At 38.7% G+C, this 18103-nt stretch overlaps 1 protein-coding gene across 5 annotated transcripts in view, besides 2 other annotated features; it reads left to right on the forward strand.

The window, feature by feature from the left end:
- Positions 1-3502: 3502 nt before the first annotated feature.
- The window catches only part of FBXO4 (F-box protein 4), a 115124-nt gene continuing 100523 nt past the window's right edge, over positions 3503-18103 (forward strand). For 2 of the 5 annotated variants that reach the window (XM_011514026.4, NM_001297437.2), the window contains exons 1-5: positions 3503-3720; positions 5235-5470; positions 7919-8139; positions 12168-12243; positions 12355-12530. In XM_011514026.4, the coding sequence (XP_011512328.1) occupies positions 3532-3720; positions 5235-5470; positions 7919-8139; positions 12168-12243; positions 12355-12530 (898 nt within the window). In that variant the 5' untranslated portion in view covers positions 3503-3531. Of the gene's footprint in view, positions 3721-4018; positions 4324-5234; positions 6914-7918; positions 8140-12167; positions 12244-12354; positions 13308-17662; positions 17839-18103 lie in introns of those variants that run through there. The other 3 variants (NM_012176.3, XM_011514027.3, NM_033484.3) reach the window with 3 other exon arrangements.
- Positions 3761-3940: a silencer, noted in NCBI's record as "silent region_15986". NCBI's record gives its function as "represses an Ori minimal core promoter by ATAC-STARR-seq in GM12878 lymphoblastoid cells {active_cell/tissue: GM12878}" and the evidence as "EXISTENCE:reporter gene assay evidence [ECO:0000049][PMID:35858748]".
- Positions 7369-7663: a silencer, noted in NCBI's record as "tiled region #10845; K562 Repressive non-DNase unmatched - State 15:Elon". NCBI's record gives its function as "represses a minimal TATA promoter and a strong SV40 promoter by Sharpr-MPRA in K562 cells {active_cell/tissue: K562}" and the evidence as "EXISTENCE:reporter gene assay evidence [ECO:0000049][PMID:27701403]".

An 18103-nucleotide genomic window follows, 5' to 3' on the forward strand; every position in this document is an offset into this window, starting at 1 on the left:
CTCTGGAGCCAGAAGGCCTGAGTTTAATCATAGCCCTGCCATTTATAATACTAACTGTGTGACTCTCTTTAAGTTATTTAATCTTCCTGTGCTGCCTTATCTTATTTTTAAGGCAGTAATAGTACCTACCTCAAGGATATTGAAGATAAATAAGTTAATATTCAGAGTGCTTTAGTTCAGTGTGTAGTATATAAGAGCACAAGAGAATTAGCTATTTCTAGACTGTTTCCCTTAATGTCTAGTTCTGTATATAGGCATACCTCATTTAGCATGCTGACTCATTAGCCAGACAATTGAATGACAAACTTGTTGGCCAGGAAAGCACTGCCTTTTCCTTAGTTCAAGTCATGCCGGTCTTTCTAGGTGGGAAGCAGACTTCAGAGAAGAAATCAGGACTTGGATAGGCATCTCAAATGTTTTTTGTGGATATGACTGGAAGAAAACATCCAATTAATTTTCAAAACATTTTCAGCCCTCCCTCAAAATATATATAAAACCCACTGTATTGAGATGTACTAGTCATCTAAATATGTTATACATATCCTATTTAAAACTGGATTTTTTAATCAGCCTGATTGCCTTGGCTTCTGATACCTTTTGGTCTAATTCTTAACTCACAAGTCAGAAGCATTCAATGAAATACTGGTTATTTAAATTTAAATACTATACTTAAAAATAGGTTATTCTAAATCCTTGTATAGCCACATGATTGAGTAGTATGTACCTGTAAAAATCCATGAGGTATATTTCTGTTTAACGCTACAGAGTGGTCTTATTAAGTAAAAACAAAATGGAGAAGGTATATATATATATGTGTGTGTGTGTGTGTGTGTATGTATCATATTTAAGAAAGGGAATATAAAAGTGCGTGTGTGTGTGTAGTTAAAAAAAAGAAACAATGGACCCATAACCAAAACTTTAAAAAATGGTTACTTATGGTGGAGGCAGGAGGAGAGGAACCAGATGGAAAGGACCAGGATGGAAGCTAGATTTCTCAGAATATATCTTGAATTTTCAACATTTGACTTTGGTACATATGTTATTCTAAAACGAGATTTAAGCAAAGTTAAGAAAAGCCCTACAAGTCCAAAGCAAAATGAAACAGACGACCTGCATTGCATATCAAGTTGATGGCTTGAATACACAGGTATGTTTCAGTTATCTTTAAAGCATAGTAATTTGTATGTCCATTCTTAATGGGATATATCCAAGGGCAAAAAGAAATGTGAAGAAATCTTAAACTCTTCAGTAATTAAATTGTTAATCATAACTATGTTAATATAATTAGAAATGAGGATTTTTAGTGTATGAGAAAAGATACATACAAAATCAAAGAGTAAAAACAATCTGTAATCCTAAATTTGAATGGGAAATAACACGAAGTTATGTTTTCTCTATATAAAAGACACTAGAAAGGCCTGGAAACCATGTTCAAATACCATTCCCGTCAAAATGAGCCAGAGTTTTCTGGAAATATAGCTAATTCTGGCTTGAGCAGGACAATCAAATGACTGACGGAAAATTTTTCTTTAATTCAGCTAATAAAAGGAATTATAGAACTAGAATACTAACATTTTATAACTTGTAAGCAAATAATATTCATTGATAAATGCTCTATCTTTGAGGTGAAAAACTTACAGGAAATTTGAATGGATCAGCCCAGTGAAACCACTGATCACTCCGAACATTAGAAAATGAGAATGACTTGTAGCTTTCAGTCTCAGTATATAATACCATTTACGAATGTGTTAAAGACACTATTGAGATGCCATTAATAGTGTGCAGGCCGTGTTCAGTGGGTCACACTTGTAATCCTAGCACTTTGGAAGGCCACAGCAGGAGGATCACTTGAGCCTGGGAGGTCGAGACCAGCCTGGAAAACATGGTGAAACTCCATCTCTACTAACAAAAAAAAAAAAAAAAGAAGAAGAAGAATATAGAAAAAAGAAAGTCCAGAGTGGTCCAGAAAGACCAACCTGCTTTCTTTAACAAATATCAAGGGAAAATAAAGGAGGGGGAGCTATACAATGAAACTTAAGCTTTAAGAGTATCCGTAATGTGTGACCCTTGTTGGGCTATGATTCAAACAAATCAAATGTGAAAAATTATTTTCAAAGCAGATGGGGAAGTTAAACACTGACTCGGTATTTGGTGATTTTAATGAATTAAAATTGCTTAGGTACAGTGGTCTGTTTCTTAAAATCTGTTTTTTTTAGGGACGGATACTGAGATATTTACAGATGATAGGTCTGGGATTTGTTTCAAAAGGATCCAGAATTGGGGGTGTAGTATTAGGTGAGTATAGCAACAGCACAAGATTAACCAGGTGTTGGTAATGGAATCTTGGATACTGGGCACACAGGAGCATATTATTCACTCTCCTTTTATAAATGTTCAAAATTTTCCGTAATAAAGTTTTTCTCATTCATTTAACAGATATCATTTTAATACTTTATACTTGAACTGATTTTTTTTCTTGCTCTAGTTCGTTTTTTGCTCTCAAAGTAAATCGTGTCCTAGAAAGTGATGAGAAATGCCATATGGTTAATCCGTGGTCCTTGTCCAGATTGCCTCCCAAAAACGAGGCTGCAATTTTATTGGTTATTGGCCCCTACCAACAACATGCAAATAATAAAATGTAATGAAACTTAAACTTGTATGTTACAGAGCCTTGCAGAACCTTAGTTATCAGGCTTTCTTGGATTCTGTTGACATTTAGATCCTCAGAGATTTACTTTTTGAATGTATACATACCCAGTTCTATGTAACAGATTAACTTGTAATACGTTCTCTTAAAGCACTTTTAAAGTAAGCCCAAAGTAAGTAGAATGGGCATCTGGTTTGAGAATTAAAAAACTCACTAGTGGGATTTCAACACCACCACATCTGGGTTCTTCTAGCCGTTTTTTGCCGCCCTTGCAAATTTTAAATGTGCTTATATTTTTGCATAGTGGGTCCAGACTTCTCATTTTGGCAAAAGGTTCTTTGTAATTGGCCCGCTGACTGCCTCTCTAGTCTGTTTTTGCTGATACTCAAGAAAATAAATGGTAACTTGGTGATTGAGGAAATAACACACACAAAAAACACCCCATACGTAGTATGGTAGTGCTGAAAAGGAAGCAAGTGGTTATTAAGCCCAAGACAGTGGCAGAGGTCTATCGAACAAGCGGAGTCGCCTAGGACCAGGCATAGTGGAAATGATCCCGGAGAGAACATCTTGAATGAAGCCAGGAAGTCAGCGGGCCAGAGGTTGTACAGGGGCTCTGCGGTTGGCGTGGCTGAGGTTGAGGCCACAAGTTACTGGGGAAGTTAATTGTTGACAGGAGCTTCGTACTCGGCTCACAGCCACGCACAGTGGGCTTCCTCCCAGTACCCGCCCTTGCCCCTGGGCCTAACCCTGCCCTGGAGGCGGACTCGCGGGAGAAGCGGGAGGCGGAACGCCCGAGGGCGCCCTCGGCTGGCGCGGAGCTGCGCAGGAGGCTGACGCGCTAGCGTGGCTCTAAGACGCGTCACCCACGCTGCGGGCAAGCCATGGCGGGAAGCGAGCCGCGCAGCGGAACAAACTCGCCGCCGCCGCCCTTCAGCGACTGGGGCCGCCTGGAGGCGGCCATCCTCAGCGGCTGGAAGACCTTCTGGCAGTCAGTGAGCAAGGAGAGGGTGGCGCGTACGACCTCACGGGAGGAGGTGGATGAGGCGGCCAGCACCCTGACGCGGCTGCCGGTGAGCGTCGGCCGCAGGCCGCGGAGGACAGTGGGGCCGGCCCGGGCCGGAGGGACCTCCCCTGGAGCCCCCCGGGGCCTGGGGAACTCTCGCGCCCCGGCCTGGGTCTGGCTCCGTCCATGCAGCCATTCCTGGCAGTGTAGTCACCGAGAAGCTACAGTTGATCAGAAGCGTCTTGGCGTGGACCCTGGTGCTCCGCAGGGGGCCCGAACATCTCAGGGAAGCACCTTCATGGGGCCCCTGGGGACCCTCCCGATCGCCCTCAGGTTTTCCACCCGCCAAAACAGGCACATGTGACTAGGACACCCTGAATGTCCGGTTACGGAAATGAGACAGTTCCCAACTTGCTGATTAGCTTGGGAAAGCATTCCAGCGTCCCTGTTCCCAGCGTCTTTGATTCCGGATCACTGTACCAAAACACTTGGAGGGCCAAGGTTTTTACCCTCTCAAGAGGACATTGTGCCTGTGGCTGTTATTGTGTATTTGAAGAAACAAAACGGCCCCTCAGTTGAAAATAAATGACTTAAGTTACAAGTGCCTCAAGTTACATCAAGGCCACGAGAATGACACACATAACTTATTGTTAAACTTTGGGGTAGATAGGTAAATGAAGAGAACAAAAATTATTGAAAATTATTACAATTCTTTGTCTCATTTGGACTATTGACACCTCTCTCCAATGTGTATATCAACGTGAAAGCTGCAGGTTTAGAATGCCTCCAAGTTTCTCCTTGCAGAGGTTTTTCATAACATTTTAATAGATTCTGTAGAGGAACTAAGATGACAAATTTACGGCCGGGCGCGGTGGCTCACGCCTGTAATCCCAGCACTTTGGGAGACCCAGGTGGGCGGATCACGAGGTCAGGAGATCAAGACCATCCTGGCTAACACGGTGAAACCCCGTCTCTACTAAAAATATAAAAAATTAGCCGGGCTTGGTGGCAGGCGCCTGTAGTCCCAGCTACTTGGGAGGCTGAGGCAGGAGCATGGCGTGAACCTGGGAGACGGAGCTTGCAGTGAGCCGAGATCTTGCCACTGCACTCCAGCCTGGGCGACAGAGCGAGACTGTGTCTCAAAAAAGAAAAAGACAAATGTACACTCTTTGATTTGGTCTGATGATAAAATCAGATAAAGGTTGATATGGGTTTTATTTTGAAGGACAAATTATTTCCTTAACTAATTTATGTAACTAACTGGTATATCCAAATATCTCTGAGGAAAAATTAAAGGAACTGGTGATTTTGCTGGAAAAATAGCAAGACAGTGGTTGCTTTTTCAGGAATGTTTCAGGTGTTTCAGAAATTAAATGTTTAACAACTACGAAACTAAAATGTTCAGTTATGATCCTTTGCTGATAGCAGGAAAATAATAGATTTAATTATTAATGGTAGATTTAGTTATTAAAAATACTAGTCAGTTGACCTTTTGTTATTTATTTGTTGATTATGTGGTTTATCACCCAAAAACTATTTTCTTCATTCCTTTTTCCTACCTGCTGCTTTCTTCTGTTTCAGATTGATGTACAGCTATATATTTTGTCCTTTCTTTCACCTCATGATCTGTGTCAGTTGGGAAGTACAAATCATTATTGGAATGAAACTGTAAGAGATCCAATTCTGTGGAGATACTTTTTGTTGAGGGATCTTCCTTCTTGGTCTTCTGTTGACTGGAAGTCTCTTCCAGATCTAGAAATCTTAAAAAAGCCTATATCTGAGGTCACTGATGGTGCATTTTTTGACTACATGGCAGTGTAAGTATCTAGTTTTATGAATTAAAAAGAAGCTATTAAATTTTCCTGTATTACTAGTCAATATCCAAGTTAATCCTGACCCTGCTACTGATTTGTTGCGTGGATTTGGGGTCTAATTGTTCTCGTCAAAACTGGGAGTTAAATGACTTCCTTCATAGGACCCTTTCAGCTTTAATATTTTATTATTTCCCTGTGGTGCCTAACCAGTATTTGAATAATTATAAGTAGTATAGATGGCAAGAAGTAAAAGACTTCTTAAAAGTCTCATGATCTTTAGAACAATTGTCATTTTGTTAAATAAGTAAATACTTTTCCGTATTCAGAAAAAGGATGATCAGAGACCCCTGTTGTTTGGCAGGGAAGAAGAAAACCATTCTAAAGGCTCTGAGAAATAAGATTATATTAGCACCGAAAAGCACTGACATTTTTTAATATTGCGTAGGTGAGATAATTAATGTTACTGAGCAACTGCAGTGTACTGGATTCTACGAGGGATGCTTTATGTATGTTTTACTCATTTAATCCTCATGCAACAAGAAGGTGTTATCTTTGTATCCCAGATGTGGAATTAAGGTTCATGGAGGTTATGTGATTTGCCTAAAGTCATATAGCTTGTAAGGGACTATTCAGACTGGAACCCCATTATGCTACCTCAAAGATATATAATGACATTATATATCTGGATATAGCTTGTTTTTCTGAGAAACTCAAATTTAACGCATTATTTTAAAAATTTCAAAATATTTATTCTTTAAAAATTGTTGTGCTTGACTCAGTAGCAAAATACAGAATTTTTTTTTCAAATTTTGAGTTATTCAGAGCCTTTCCTTATTCTAATACAGATGCCATTATGTCAAGTGTTGTGAGACTATTTGATTCAAAGGTGTGTTGTCTGTTATAGATAATCTCAGCAAGTGCTGCTGTATCTCACTTGCTAGGCAATACCTGTACAATAGCTAACCATTGCATCAAGTGTATATGAGGCTGTGGAATTAGATTTTGCCCAGGGAATAGTAATAATAGTAACTACCATTTATGGTCATATAAAGTACTTATCATTTTTACAACCCTGAGTTATTTCTTTCTTTTCTTTTTTTTTTTTTTGAGACGGAGTCTTGCTCTGTCGCCCAGGCTGGAGTGCAGTGGAGCGATCTCGGCTCACTGCAAGCTCCGCCTCCTGGGTTCACGCCATTCTCCTGCCTTATCCTCCCGAGTAGCTGGGACTAGAGGCACCCGCCACCACGCCTGGCTAATTTTTTGTATTTTTAGTAGAGACGGGGTTTCACCGTGTTACCCAGGATGGTCTTGATCTCCTGACCTCGTGATCCACCCACCTTGGCCTCCCAAAGTGCTGGGATTACAGGCGTGAGCCACTGCGCCCGGCCAACCCTGAGTTATTTCTGTTGCTCAAATAATACAGATGAAGAAACTGAAATTCAGACTGTAAGTGGCTCATATAACTAAAAGTAGTGAGGCTTGGTCAGGTCTATCCAGCTTCAAAGTTGTTTTGTGTTTGTTTTTTCCCCTTCATGAGTTACAAGGTTTCTAATAAAAGGATTTTGTTAGGTTAGTGATTTTGTTAACCAGCTTGACTTATTTGAAGGACTTTAGGTTTTATTTTGATTTGGGCAACTTTTAATTTTTGATAAAATGCATAATTGGTACTTTAGAGATTTATAGCTATTGCAAGAAACGGAATTGTTTTACATCATTCTTAGTTTGCTAGGTTTGCTGCAAGGATCATTTGAGCCTCCCTCATTTAACTCTTACTAAACTGTTATATTTGAGGCTATTAATAGAAGTACCCAAGACATTTGAAATTTGGTTATATTGGTAGTGTTAGCAATTTTTTTGGTTTGTTTGTTTTTTACCTGTAGGGATATTGTGCTAACTATCTGTGTGTAGCTTATCTTTAGTGCTGAGTTTCTCAATCTTGGCACTATTGACATTTTGAGCCAAATAATTCTTTGTTCTGGGGCCTGCCCTATGCATTGTAGGATTAATGTTTAGCAGCATCCTTGGCCTCTGCTAACTTCTTCTCCCCTCCCCAGTTGTGACAATAAACTTGTTGTTCAGACATTGCCAAATGTTCCAGGGGGGCAGGGATAAACCTCCTAGGGTTGAGAACCTTTATGTAGTAAAATTTCACCATTCAAATGTTCCATGAGAGAATCTAAATTAAAGATTAGAAAGTAAGTAACCACTTCATGGGGGAAGAGTTCCTTAGCTTCTGGGCCACTCCCACCCCCATGGCACCTTGTGCTTTTCCCTGTCAGAGCACTCCACATACATATTATAAAGGTGTCTGTCTATTGTTCTCCTGGAGGATTGGGACTATATAATCATTGTATCCATTGTGTCTAGCAAGTACTCAATAAATTATATATTTTTGAATGAATAACTGGCTGTTTTCTGTGTTAATGTTCTAATTGTGACAATTTTTTACAGCTATAGAATGTGCTGTCCATACACAAGAAGAGCTTCAAAATCCAGCCGTCCTATGTATGGAGCTGTCACTTCTTTTTTACACTCCCTGATCATTCAGAATGAACCACGATTTGCTATGTTTGGACCAGGTTTGGAAGAATTGAATACCTCTTTGGTGTTGAGCTTGATGTCTTCAGAGGAACTTTGCCCAACAGCTGGTTTGCCTCAGAGGCAGATTGATGGTAATTTTCATGTTAATCTACAGTTAATTCAAACACTTTGAGCTTGACATTCTTGTTAAAAAGAAAGAAATTCATTTTAAATTAATTATTTGCTATAATGAAGTACAGTACTTTGGTTGTTGGGAGCCCTACCAGGTTCCACTGAACTGACAGAATTAATTTACTTACTATAAGAAAGCTTCCTCTTAATTCCTCAAATTTGTACAATCCAGCCTTTAAGATTATGTGAAAATAAATTATTTGTTGTCAAGATGTTGCATTTGTACAGTGGGATATCATATTTATCATGTTTGAAAAAGCAGAAAAAATTGAGCATCTGTGTGGAGAGTATTTTGATATGTATTGGAATTCAAAAGATTTAAATCATCACCTTCCCCTCTTTCTATTAAAAAAAATGCATAAATATTTGGCAAGGCAGGATAAATAGTAAATGTAAGTAATAATAAAATTTAGCCTTTGCTTTACTTATTTATTGAGAGCCAGCCCCTATAAGTGAGATGATAGGGATGCAGATTTAGAACAATGTCTCTGTTTGCCTTCAAGATAGGTGTAGGTGAGGACATAGACAAGTGTACAGATAACTAGAATATGATGTATTTAGTTCCTGGGTAGAAAGGTAACGGTCAAAGAAGGCTCCATATTGATGATGTCTCATATGAGTCACTAGGGTGAATAGTTGTAGGCCATCACAAAAAGACAGTAAAGGTGTTCCAGGCAGCGAGAACTACATTTTTTTCTTTCTTTCTTTCTTTCTTTTTTTTTTTTTTTGAGATGGAGTCTCACTCAGTTGCCCAGGCTGGAGTGCAGTGGCGCGATCTCGGCTCACTGCCAGCTCCGCCTCCCGGGTTCACACCATTCTCCCGAGTAGCTGGGACTACAGGCGCCCACCACTACGCCTGGCTAATTTTTTTGGTATTTTTAGTAGAGACGGGGTTTCACTGTGTTAGCCAGGATGGTCTCGATCTCATGACCTCGTGATCCGCCCACCTGGGTCTCCCAAAGTGCTGGGATTACAGGCGTGAGCCACCGCGCCCGGCGGAGAACTACATTTCTAAAAGCACAAAGCTCTGGATGTAGAGGACACATTTGAAGTATCACTGTGTATCTAGAAAGAGTGGAGCTATGTGAAAAGACACATATGTACCATGCTTAAGCATTTGGGAGCTGCTGGAGGATTTTAAGTAGAGGATTGAGATGATCAAGGTTGCATGTTAGAAAGATTACTCAGGCTCTTGAGTGAAGAATTGATTAGAAGGGGCTAAAGATATGGAGACCCATTAAGAAGCCACTGTAATGTTATGATTAAAATATGAAGAGGATCTGAACTCTAAGTCACTGTTAGTGAAGATGAGAGAAGAGAATGAATAGTAAGGATATAAAATTGACAGAATAAATGTATTAGCAGTAATAAGGATGGCTCCAGGTTTCTGACTTGAGTTTTTTGTTGGATGATAGAGGATTCACTAGGGTAATAAATCACTGGAGAAGTTAAGAAAAATTTGGAAGGGGCAGGTAACAGTAAGATCTGTATAGGGAGAATGGCAGCTATTCTTTGGAATATGTTGACTTTGATAACTCCATGGAAGATCCAAGTAGAGATACCTACTATAAGCAAATCTGCTAGAATGGAAGCTCCATGAAGGTAAGAGTCTTGTCCACTTTATTTTTAGCTATATCTGTGGTGCCAGGCACATAACAGGCACTCTCTGTATATTTGGTGAATGAGTGAATGACTTGATGGATTACTGTATGCATCCAGCTCTCAAGAGCAAGATCTGGGCTAGAAAATCGAGATTTGGGAGTCATACGGAGTCCACATGGACTTGGAAGTTTTTGAGGATGGAGAGGAAGATTGGAGACAGGTGCTGAAATGTTCAGTTTATGTTTGGGGGAAGTGACTATTAAATGGAGATTCATAAGTAATAACGACAAAGAAGGAAAGAGTGCTACAGCTGAATGATGTGTTTCTCAAGTAGAAGGATTTTTTTCAGAGGGTTGGTGAGTAATTGTTTAGATATGGCATTGGGAGTTAAGAGAACATGAATCCCACCTCTTTACCTTGAGTTTTGAGAAAATAAGCATCTTTGCTACTTGAGAGTTCACTGCAGGAGAAGCCTCACCTAGGGGTAGGCCAATTTCAAGTGTGGCTATTAGGTCAAAGGAACACCTCAAGAAGAGGTTGAGGAAATGGGGAAGTTTGATGGTTATAAAATGTCAATTCCATTTTCCAGAGAGCAGCTGAAGTGATTGTTTTAAAATTTCAATTTATGGCTCACACTCAGCAAGACGAGAGAATATGGGGTTACATAATTGGCAAAGAAGGGCAGAACAGTATGGCGACTATATTGGGCTGAAGTTAGACGTGTTGAGAGGGTAATCTCTGGGAGTGCAGCTGATGAAAACAAAGATCAGAAACATGGTAAAGTTTGATTCTGTGGTCTCTGTGAAACATGCACCAGACCTGGTGGCTGGAGGACTAGGATCACATGGCCTGGCATGGTTGCAGTCTTAGTACTTAAGAGCCCTGTGTGTGTGTTGCCTAGAATGATGACATGAGATGGTATGGCATAGCTTATTTAAACAAATAAATTAGTTATAATGCAGGAATTAAGAGTATGAAAGGCTGGAGTTGTCTCTAATGAGGTTAGTAGGGACCAGATATTATGGTTTTATTTCTTCATCTGAAGGGCAATGGCTTTGTAGAGAAGACAATTAGATACCATTATTAAAAAATTCTTCCAACTGATGTCAGAGGAAAGGATAATAGGAGGCAAGAAGATATAGGAGACTGGTTAGAAGTGATTGCAGAGGCCCGGGTGAGTGATGATGACAATGTGAACTAAAGTGTGGTCATGGGGATACAGAGAACTGAACAGATCTAGAAGAACATTTATATAACAGGATGAAGTAGAGCCATGGAAGCCCAGAAGGGTCTTTTGAGGAGGCAAAAGGAGAACCAGCCACTTAGTGTTAACACAGTCCAAGGAGGGAAGAGGTTAAGAAAGAAGGACAAATAACAGTGGCTAATGATTCAGATACAAAGCAGTAAGAAGCTAATATTTAGCACTTGTGGTTTACTAGTCACCCTACTAGGAGTTTTACATGTATGATCTCGTTTAATCTTCCCAGTAAACCTAAGAAGAATATATTAGTTCAACTTCTTTTTGGTGTCAAACTGAGGGATACAAATACATGGCTATAAGTGAGAAATTCAGAATTATAATCCAACTCTGACGAATTCTAAATTTCAGTATCTTCAGTATTTTCTCAATTTACTAATGTTCTCTTGGCAACTCCTCAGTAATTTATTATTATTTTTTGAGACAAGGTCTCTGTTACCCAGGCTGGAGTACAGTGGCATGATCATGGCTCACTGCAGCTTTGAACTCCCTGGCTCAAGTGATCCTCCTACCTCAGCCTCCCAAGTACCTGGGAAACAGGCATGGGCCACCATGCCTGGATAATTGTTTTGTATTTTTTGTAGAGATGAGGTTCTCACTATGTTGTCTAGGTTGGTCTTGAACTCTTAGCCTCAAGTGATTCTTCCACCTCAGCCTCCCAAATTGTTGGGATTACAGATGTGAGCCACTGTGCCTGCCCCCCCCATCAATTTAAAAACAGCTTTTCAGAGGGGGAGAAAGACACTTAATTGAATGTATACATTGATTATTAGACTAATGAGAAACATAAAAATATGAAAATGAGTCTTAGTCTTGAGGATAAATAGTAGTAGCTGTGATTATGCAGCTGCTACTGATAAGATGATAAAGTTGTTGATGATAGTGATGATGATATAAGGACTGTTATAAGCCTTGCAGTTTTTTTCTTTCTCTGTATTTTTATTGTCATGTGAATGAAAGTTACATACGGTATCTTTTCTTCAACGTATACATTTTATTTCAACTCTATGTATAAGTTGTTATAGAATTTTTTCTTTACTCTTTTTGCTTTCACCGGGTAATTTTCAGTGTGATCTTTTGCTATTTTTATTAATGATTTGTTTTGGTAACTGTGATTTTCTTTCTTAGGTATTGGATCAGGAGTCAATTTTCAGTTGAACAACCAACATAAATTCAACATTCTAATCTTATATTCAACTACCAGGTAAGGCTACATACTTGGTGGCTTAACTGAAACATCAGAACTAAAACATTTCAGGTGAGTGGAGCCTGTTTAGTGTCTTTTTATATTCTGTCTTTACAATTTTTTTTCTAGAAAGGAAAGAGATAGAGCAAGGGAAGAGCATACAAGTGCAGTTAACAAGATGTTCAGTCGACACAATGAAGGTGATGATCAACAAGGAAGCCGGTACAGTGTGATTCCACAGATTCAAAAAGTGTGTGAAGTTGTAGATGGGTTCATCTATGTTGCAAATGCTGAAGCTCATAAAAGTAAGTACTCATATGTACATTTTTAAGCACATTGTTCTTTTCAAAGCAAATGGAAAATACCTTTTTAGACTTTACTGTGGCTTCTTAAGAATATGATGGCTTATTTTATCAATGTGATTTTCTGACCCTTACTATTAATAGTGTGTTCTCACACTTTTGTGTGTATTAGGATCACCTGGGAAGCTTGTTAAACATGTTAACAAGCTGATTCCTACCCTGGTGGATTTTATTCCTAGATTTGGGTTGTGTGAATCAGATTTGGGCATCTGTTTTTTCCAAGCACCCAGGGAATTCTGATGCATTCCAAAGTTTGGTACTAGAGCTATACAATATTTTTTTGCTTTATGCTTCTGCATTTTTTTGATACTGACATTTTGTCTGCTTCTGGCTTTATTCAAATAATCTATGCAAATAACTATGAAAAATTTTATCTTTGTTTTATCCAAATAGTAAAGAGATGTGATGGTAGGGTGTTAAGTAGATTAGTTGAGAACACTATTCATATATTCTGAATAATTGCCATTCAGAATGCTATTTTTGTGTGAAATCAAAATATCATTGGGCCATGAGCTAGTATTATAATATCTTTCCCAAATCCTTTGTGAACAAGGTAGAATATAAATACATAATATATTGTATATATATTATAGTTCTCTAATACACTGGTTTGAATTTCTATTCAATTTATTTTCCCTGTGATCTGTTAGGCATGAAAGCAGTTGCAATTACTTTCTGTTATTACAGGGCTATCTATAAAAAGAAAACTTAGAAGCAAAATAAAAGATAAGTTCATTTAACAAATAGTGTTTTAGTTCCTACAGGCATGTTGCAGTTACAATTGGGAACTAAAACAGATATAGCCCCTACTTTTATCTAGTTTTCCAATCTGCTCCTATAAAACAAGCACACAAAAAATAAATTAAAAAAATTTACAAGACACAAAGAGACTATACTCACTTATCAGCTTTTTCCCACTGGCCTCTACTAGGTGCTCATGTAAAAGGTTAGTGGTAAGGCAGGAGACCTATGAGTGCCCTCCTTGGTGGTACAGGCATGCATGTGATGACCAGCTGGTGCTTGAAGACAGGTATATCCTCCTGCTTTCTATATCCTTTTCTCAATGAAGCCAAAGTTGTTTTCCACAGACAAAAGTTGACTGCTGCTGTCTCAAGGGAGATAGAAACAAAAGCTGTCTTAGGGGAGGAGCAGGAATTCCACTTGTACCAAGGATCTTGCACTGATACAAATTAAATGTTTGCTGACTCTGGAGGAGAGGCAGGAAATTTGCAGTGGAGACCTTTCTACCAATACAGGGCAGAATTCAGCAGTCATGCTGGAACACTGAGAAAGCCTGCAGCACTGAGGCTCTGGTGCACAGGGCCTACCTAAGGCCTGAGGCTGGAATGAGAAAACTGAGAAATCTCCATGTCCCTACCAATTAAGGAGCAACAGCAGACTACTGCAGGGATGGGGGAAGGGTGTGGAGAGGCTCTCCTTGCCTCTTCCCCATAACCCCCATGGCACAGTTAACAAGATAGGCTGAAAGCTGAGAACAAGTAGAAACTCTGAGAAAGAAACTCTGGTACTCCAGTGCTGTTACTGAGAACAAGATAGGCAGCAGCATGCTGCTGGAAGAATTTAAAGTCTGTGTGTTACAAAGTTAACTATAGCAATAAAAGCCAAATCCAGCTCAACTACAGACTAGTTTGATTCAGCCTACTGCATTAATACCCTGACCGAAGTATGATGCCTGTTTTTAGGAGTAAATCCTTTTTACCTCAGTCTTTATTGCTCTTCTACATAAAACACCTAACATTAAATCTAAAAATTATGAGACACTCACAAAATCAAAATGAAATGATACATTGTCATGAGATAAGGCAGTCAGTTGAACTGGACCAGAGATGGTCAGCATGTTGGTATTCTCAGAAAGGGACATTAAAATAACTGATTAAGAGATCTAGGTCAGGTACAGTGGCTCTGGGAGGCCAAGGCGGGCAGATTGCTTGAGCCCAGGAGTTTGACACCAGCCTGGGCAACATGGCAAAATTTTGCCTCTACCAAGAATACCAAAAATTAGCCAGGCATGGTGGCACGTGCCTGTAGTCGCAACTACTTGGGAGGCTGAGGCAGGAGAATCGCTTGAGCCTGGGAGGCAGAGGTTACGTGAGCTGAAATCACACCACTGTACTCCAGCCTGGGTGACAGAGCGAGACCCTGTCCCCAACCCACAAAAAAATGAGAGATTGAGAGAGACCTAGTGGAAAAGGTGGACAATATGTGTGAACAGATAGATTTTTCAGCAGAGAAAAGGAAGCTGTTTTGAAAAAGTAAAACAAGCATGCTAGATATGAAAATATGACAACAGATGAATAGTTCCTTCAGTGGGCATATTAGCAAAGGAAAGAATCATTGAAAGTGAAGTTAAGTCATTCAGAATTATCCAAATTAAAACACAAAGAGAAAAAAAAGTAAGAGCAAGGAACAGAGTGAGAGTTGGGGGAATCTATCCAGTGATCTAACTCAGGGGTCAGGAAACTTTCTTAAAGGGACAAATAGTAAATATTGTAGGCTTATGAACCATACAGTTTTTTTGTTTTTTTTTTACAATCACTTAGCTCTGCTATTGCAGTGCAAAAGCAGCAGAGACAATACGTAAATGAATGGACAGACTGTTTTCCAATAAAAATTTATTTAGAAAAATTGACCCACAGAATGTAGTAGGCTGACCCCTGATCTAACTTATCTGTAATTGGAGTCCCAAAACATGAAGGGAGAGAGAAAAGGGGAAAAGGAATTTTTGAACAGATAATGGCCAGAATTATCTCAAAATTATGGAAAGACAACAAACCACAGATTGAAGATGCTCAGAGAATGCCAAGCATAAATACAAAGAAAAATACATCTAGGCACATCATAGTCAAACTGATAAAAATCAGAGATAAAGAGAACATCTTTAACGCAGCCAGAAAAAATGAAAACATACATACAGGCCAAGATAATAGTGACGGCAAATTTCCTGTCAGAATTGCTGCAGGATAGAAACCAATAAAGAGAAATCTTTATAGTACTGCAAGGGGGAAAAAACATCCTATATCTAGCAAAAATATTTTTTTGAAAATAAAGGCAATGTTAAGACTTTTTCAGACAAACAGAAGTTCAATGTCTTAGTTCATTTGTGCCACTGTAACAGAATACCCCAGACCTGTATATCAGTCCATTTCTGTTTTTAGATTATGGAGACATCTGAATGGTACTGTGATTTTTTTCCCTCTGGCTTCACCTAAATCCCTATTCTCCCAAGACTACTTAGTCTAATTTTATTACAGATCAATAAATGAATTTTTAAAGAACAGAAATTTATTTCTCACAGTTTTGGACACTAGGGAGTCCAAGATTAAGGCACCAGCATCTGGTGTCTGGTGAGTGCCTTTCTTGCTGATTTCTTACTTGGCAGAAGGCAGAAAGGGAAGCGGGAGACAAACATTGCATTCTCACATGACAGAAGAGGGAAAGACAGGGCTGCAAGCCGTTTTTAATGGCAATATTAATCTACTTATAAGAGTAAAGCCCTTATGACCTAAACAACTCCCAAAGACACCCCTTCCTGCAACACTCTTGCATTGGGGTTTAAATGTGCAACACATGAATTTTGAGAAACACATTTGAACATAGCACTGAGAAAATTGATTGTTAACAGATCTTCACTATAAGAAATCTTAAAGGAAGCTCTTTAGGCAGAAGACTATGATAACAGATGGAAATTTGCATCTACTGAAAAAGATGAAGACTCCTGGGATGGAAACAATGGAGCTATATATAAAAGGTTTTTTTCTAATTTTAATAAAAAAAACTAATAGTGTATTATACATGTATGACATTTTAAAGAAAAATATGTGATATAGAACACATCATGGAAGAGAGAACATTTAAGTATATTATACTGTAAGTTTCTTCTATATGTGAAATGGCATAATATTTAAAGGTAGACTTACAAATTAAAAATGTGTATTACATATACTTCAACAGCTACTAAAAAATGTATAATGAAGTTGTAACTAAGCCAGTAGTGGATATAAAATGGAACCATTAAAAAACTCAGTCCAAAAGAAGGTAGGCAAAGAGAGAAGAAGGAACAAAGAATAGACGGACAAGTCAAAATCTAAGACGTATAGGATACATTTAAATGCACCTTGTTGATAAGTACATTAAATGTTTATTAATTTTCAATTTCTATTAACAAATTACCTCAAATTTAATAGTTTAAAACAACTATTTTTTTAGCTCACAGTTCTCTATGTCAGAAGTCTGGAAATGGTAGTACTGAGTTCTCTGGATAGGGCCTCTTGGGCTGAAATTTGTGTATCATATGGTTGCATCCTTTTCTGGAGGCTCTGGGAAAGAATTTGCTTCCGAGATCATTCAAGTTATTAGCTGAATTCAGTTCCTTATTGTTGTAGGACTGACCTTCCTGTTTTCTTGCTAGCTGTCAGCTGGGGGCTGTTATCAGCTTCTAGAGGTCACCTATATTCCTTCCCATGTGACTCCCTCCATCTTCCAATCCAGCAATGGAGAATCTCCCTGCATTGAATCTTTCAACAAGAAGAGCCGCTTTTAAGGTCTCACCTGATTAGTCAGGCTCAATGAAGATTACCTGTCTTTCTTAAAGTCAACCGTGTCTTAAAGCCTAATCATGGGAGTGATGCCCCATCTTATTTGTAGGTTCTTCAGACACTAAAGAGGGAAGGGATTATGCAAGGGTTTGGAACATTGAGGCTATCTTAAAATTCTGCCTACCACAAAATGCAGATGGTCCAAACACTCCAATAGAAGGTTGAGATTGTTGGTATTCATAAAAAAAGCTAAACTCTACTATATGCCTACATTTTGAAAGTAAGCCCTTTGAATGAAAGGGTAGTGACATCTACAGAATTTGTGAAAGGAACTACCTGTATCAAGCATTTTTGCTTTTAAACTGTGGAGACATCTGAAGAGTACTGTGATTTTTTTCCCTCAGTTTATGTTTGGATCCTGGTAAATTTTTGTTCCCTCGCTTTGTTAGTTTTTTATTTTATTATTTTCAAAACTATTAAAAGTAATGCAAATTAAGGGTTTTGACTTACATTCCTTAGGACATGAATGGCAAGATGAATTTTCTCATATTATGGCAATGACAGATCCAGCCTTTGGGTCTTCGGGAAGACCATTGTTGGTTTTATCTTGTATTTCTCAAGGGGATGTAAAAAGAATGCCCTGTTTTTATTTGGCTCATGAGCTGCATCTGAATCTTCTAAATCACCCATGGCTGGTAAGATCATTTATACTCTAGTGACAAAAATTTTATTTTGCACTCTATTTTCTATTTGATTTTATTTTTTAAATTCATCTTCTTTAATGAAATGGCATTCTAAAGTCAATTTTAATAGCTTAATCTATGGAAGCTATTTGATTGGTGATAATAAATGTTAGCTGATCAATTGTGTCTTACTTGCCTCTTCTCTCATACAGTGAGATAACAATTGGGGATTTTTTTTTTTTTTTTTTTTTTTTTTTTTTGTTGAGACAGGGTCTCA

Source organism: Homo sapiens, chromosome 5 (assembly GCF_000001405.40).
Source record: "Homo sapiens chromosome 5, GRCh38.p14 Primary Assembly".
In the NCBI taxonomy this organism is placed as follows: Eukaryota; Metazoa; Chordata; class Mammalia; order Primates; family Hominidae; genus Homo; species Homo sapiens.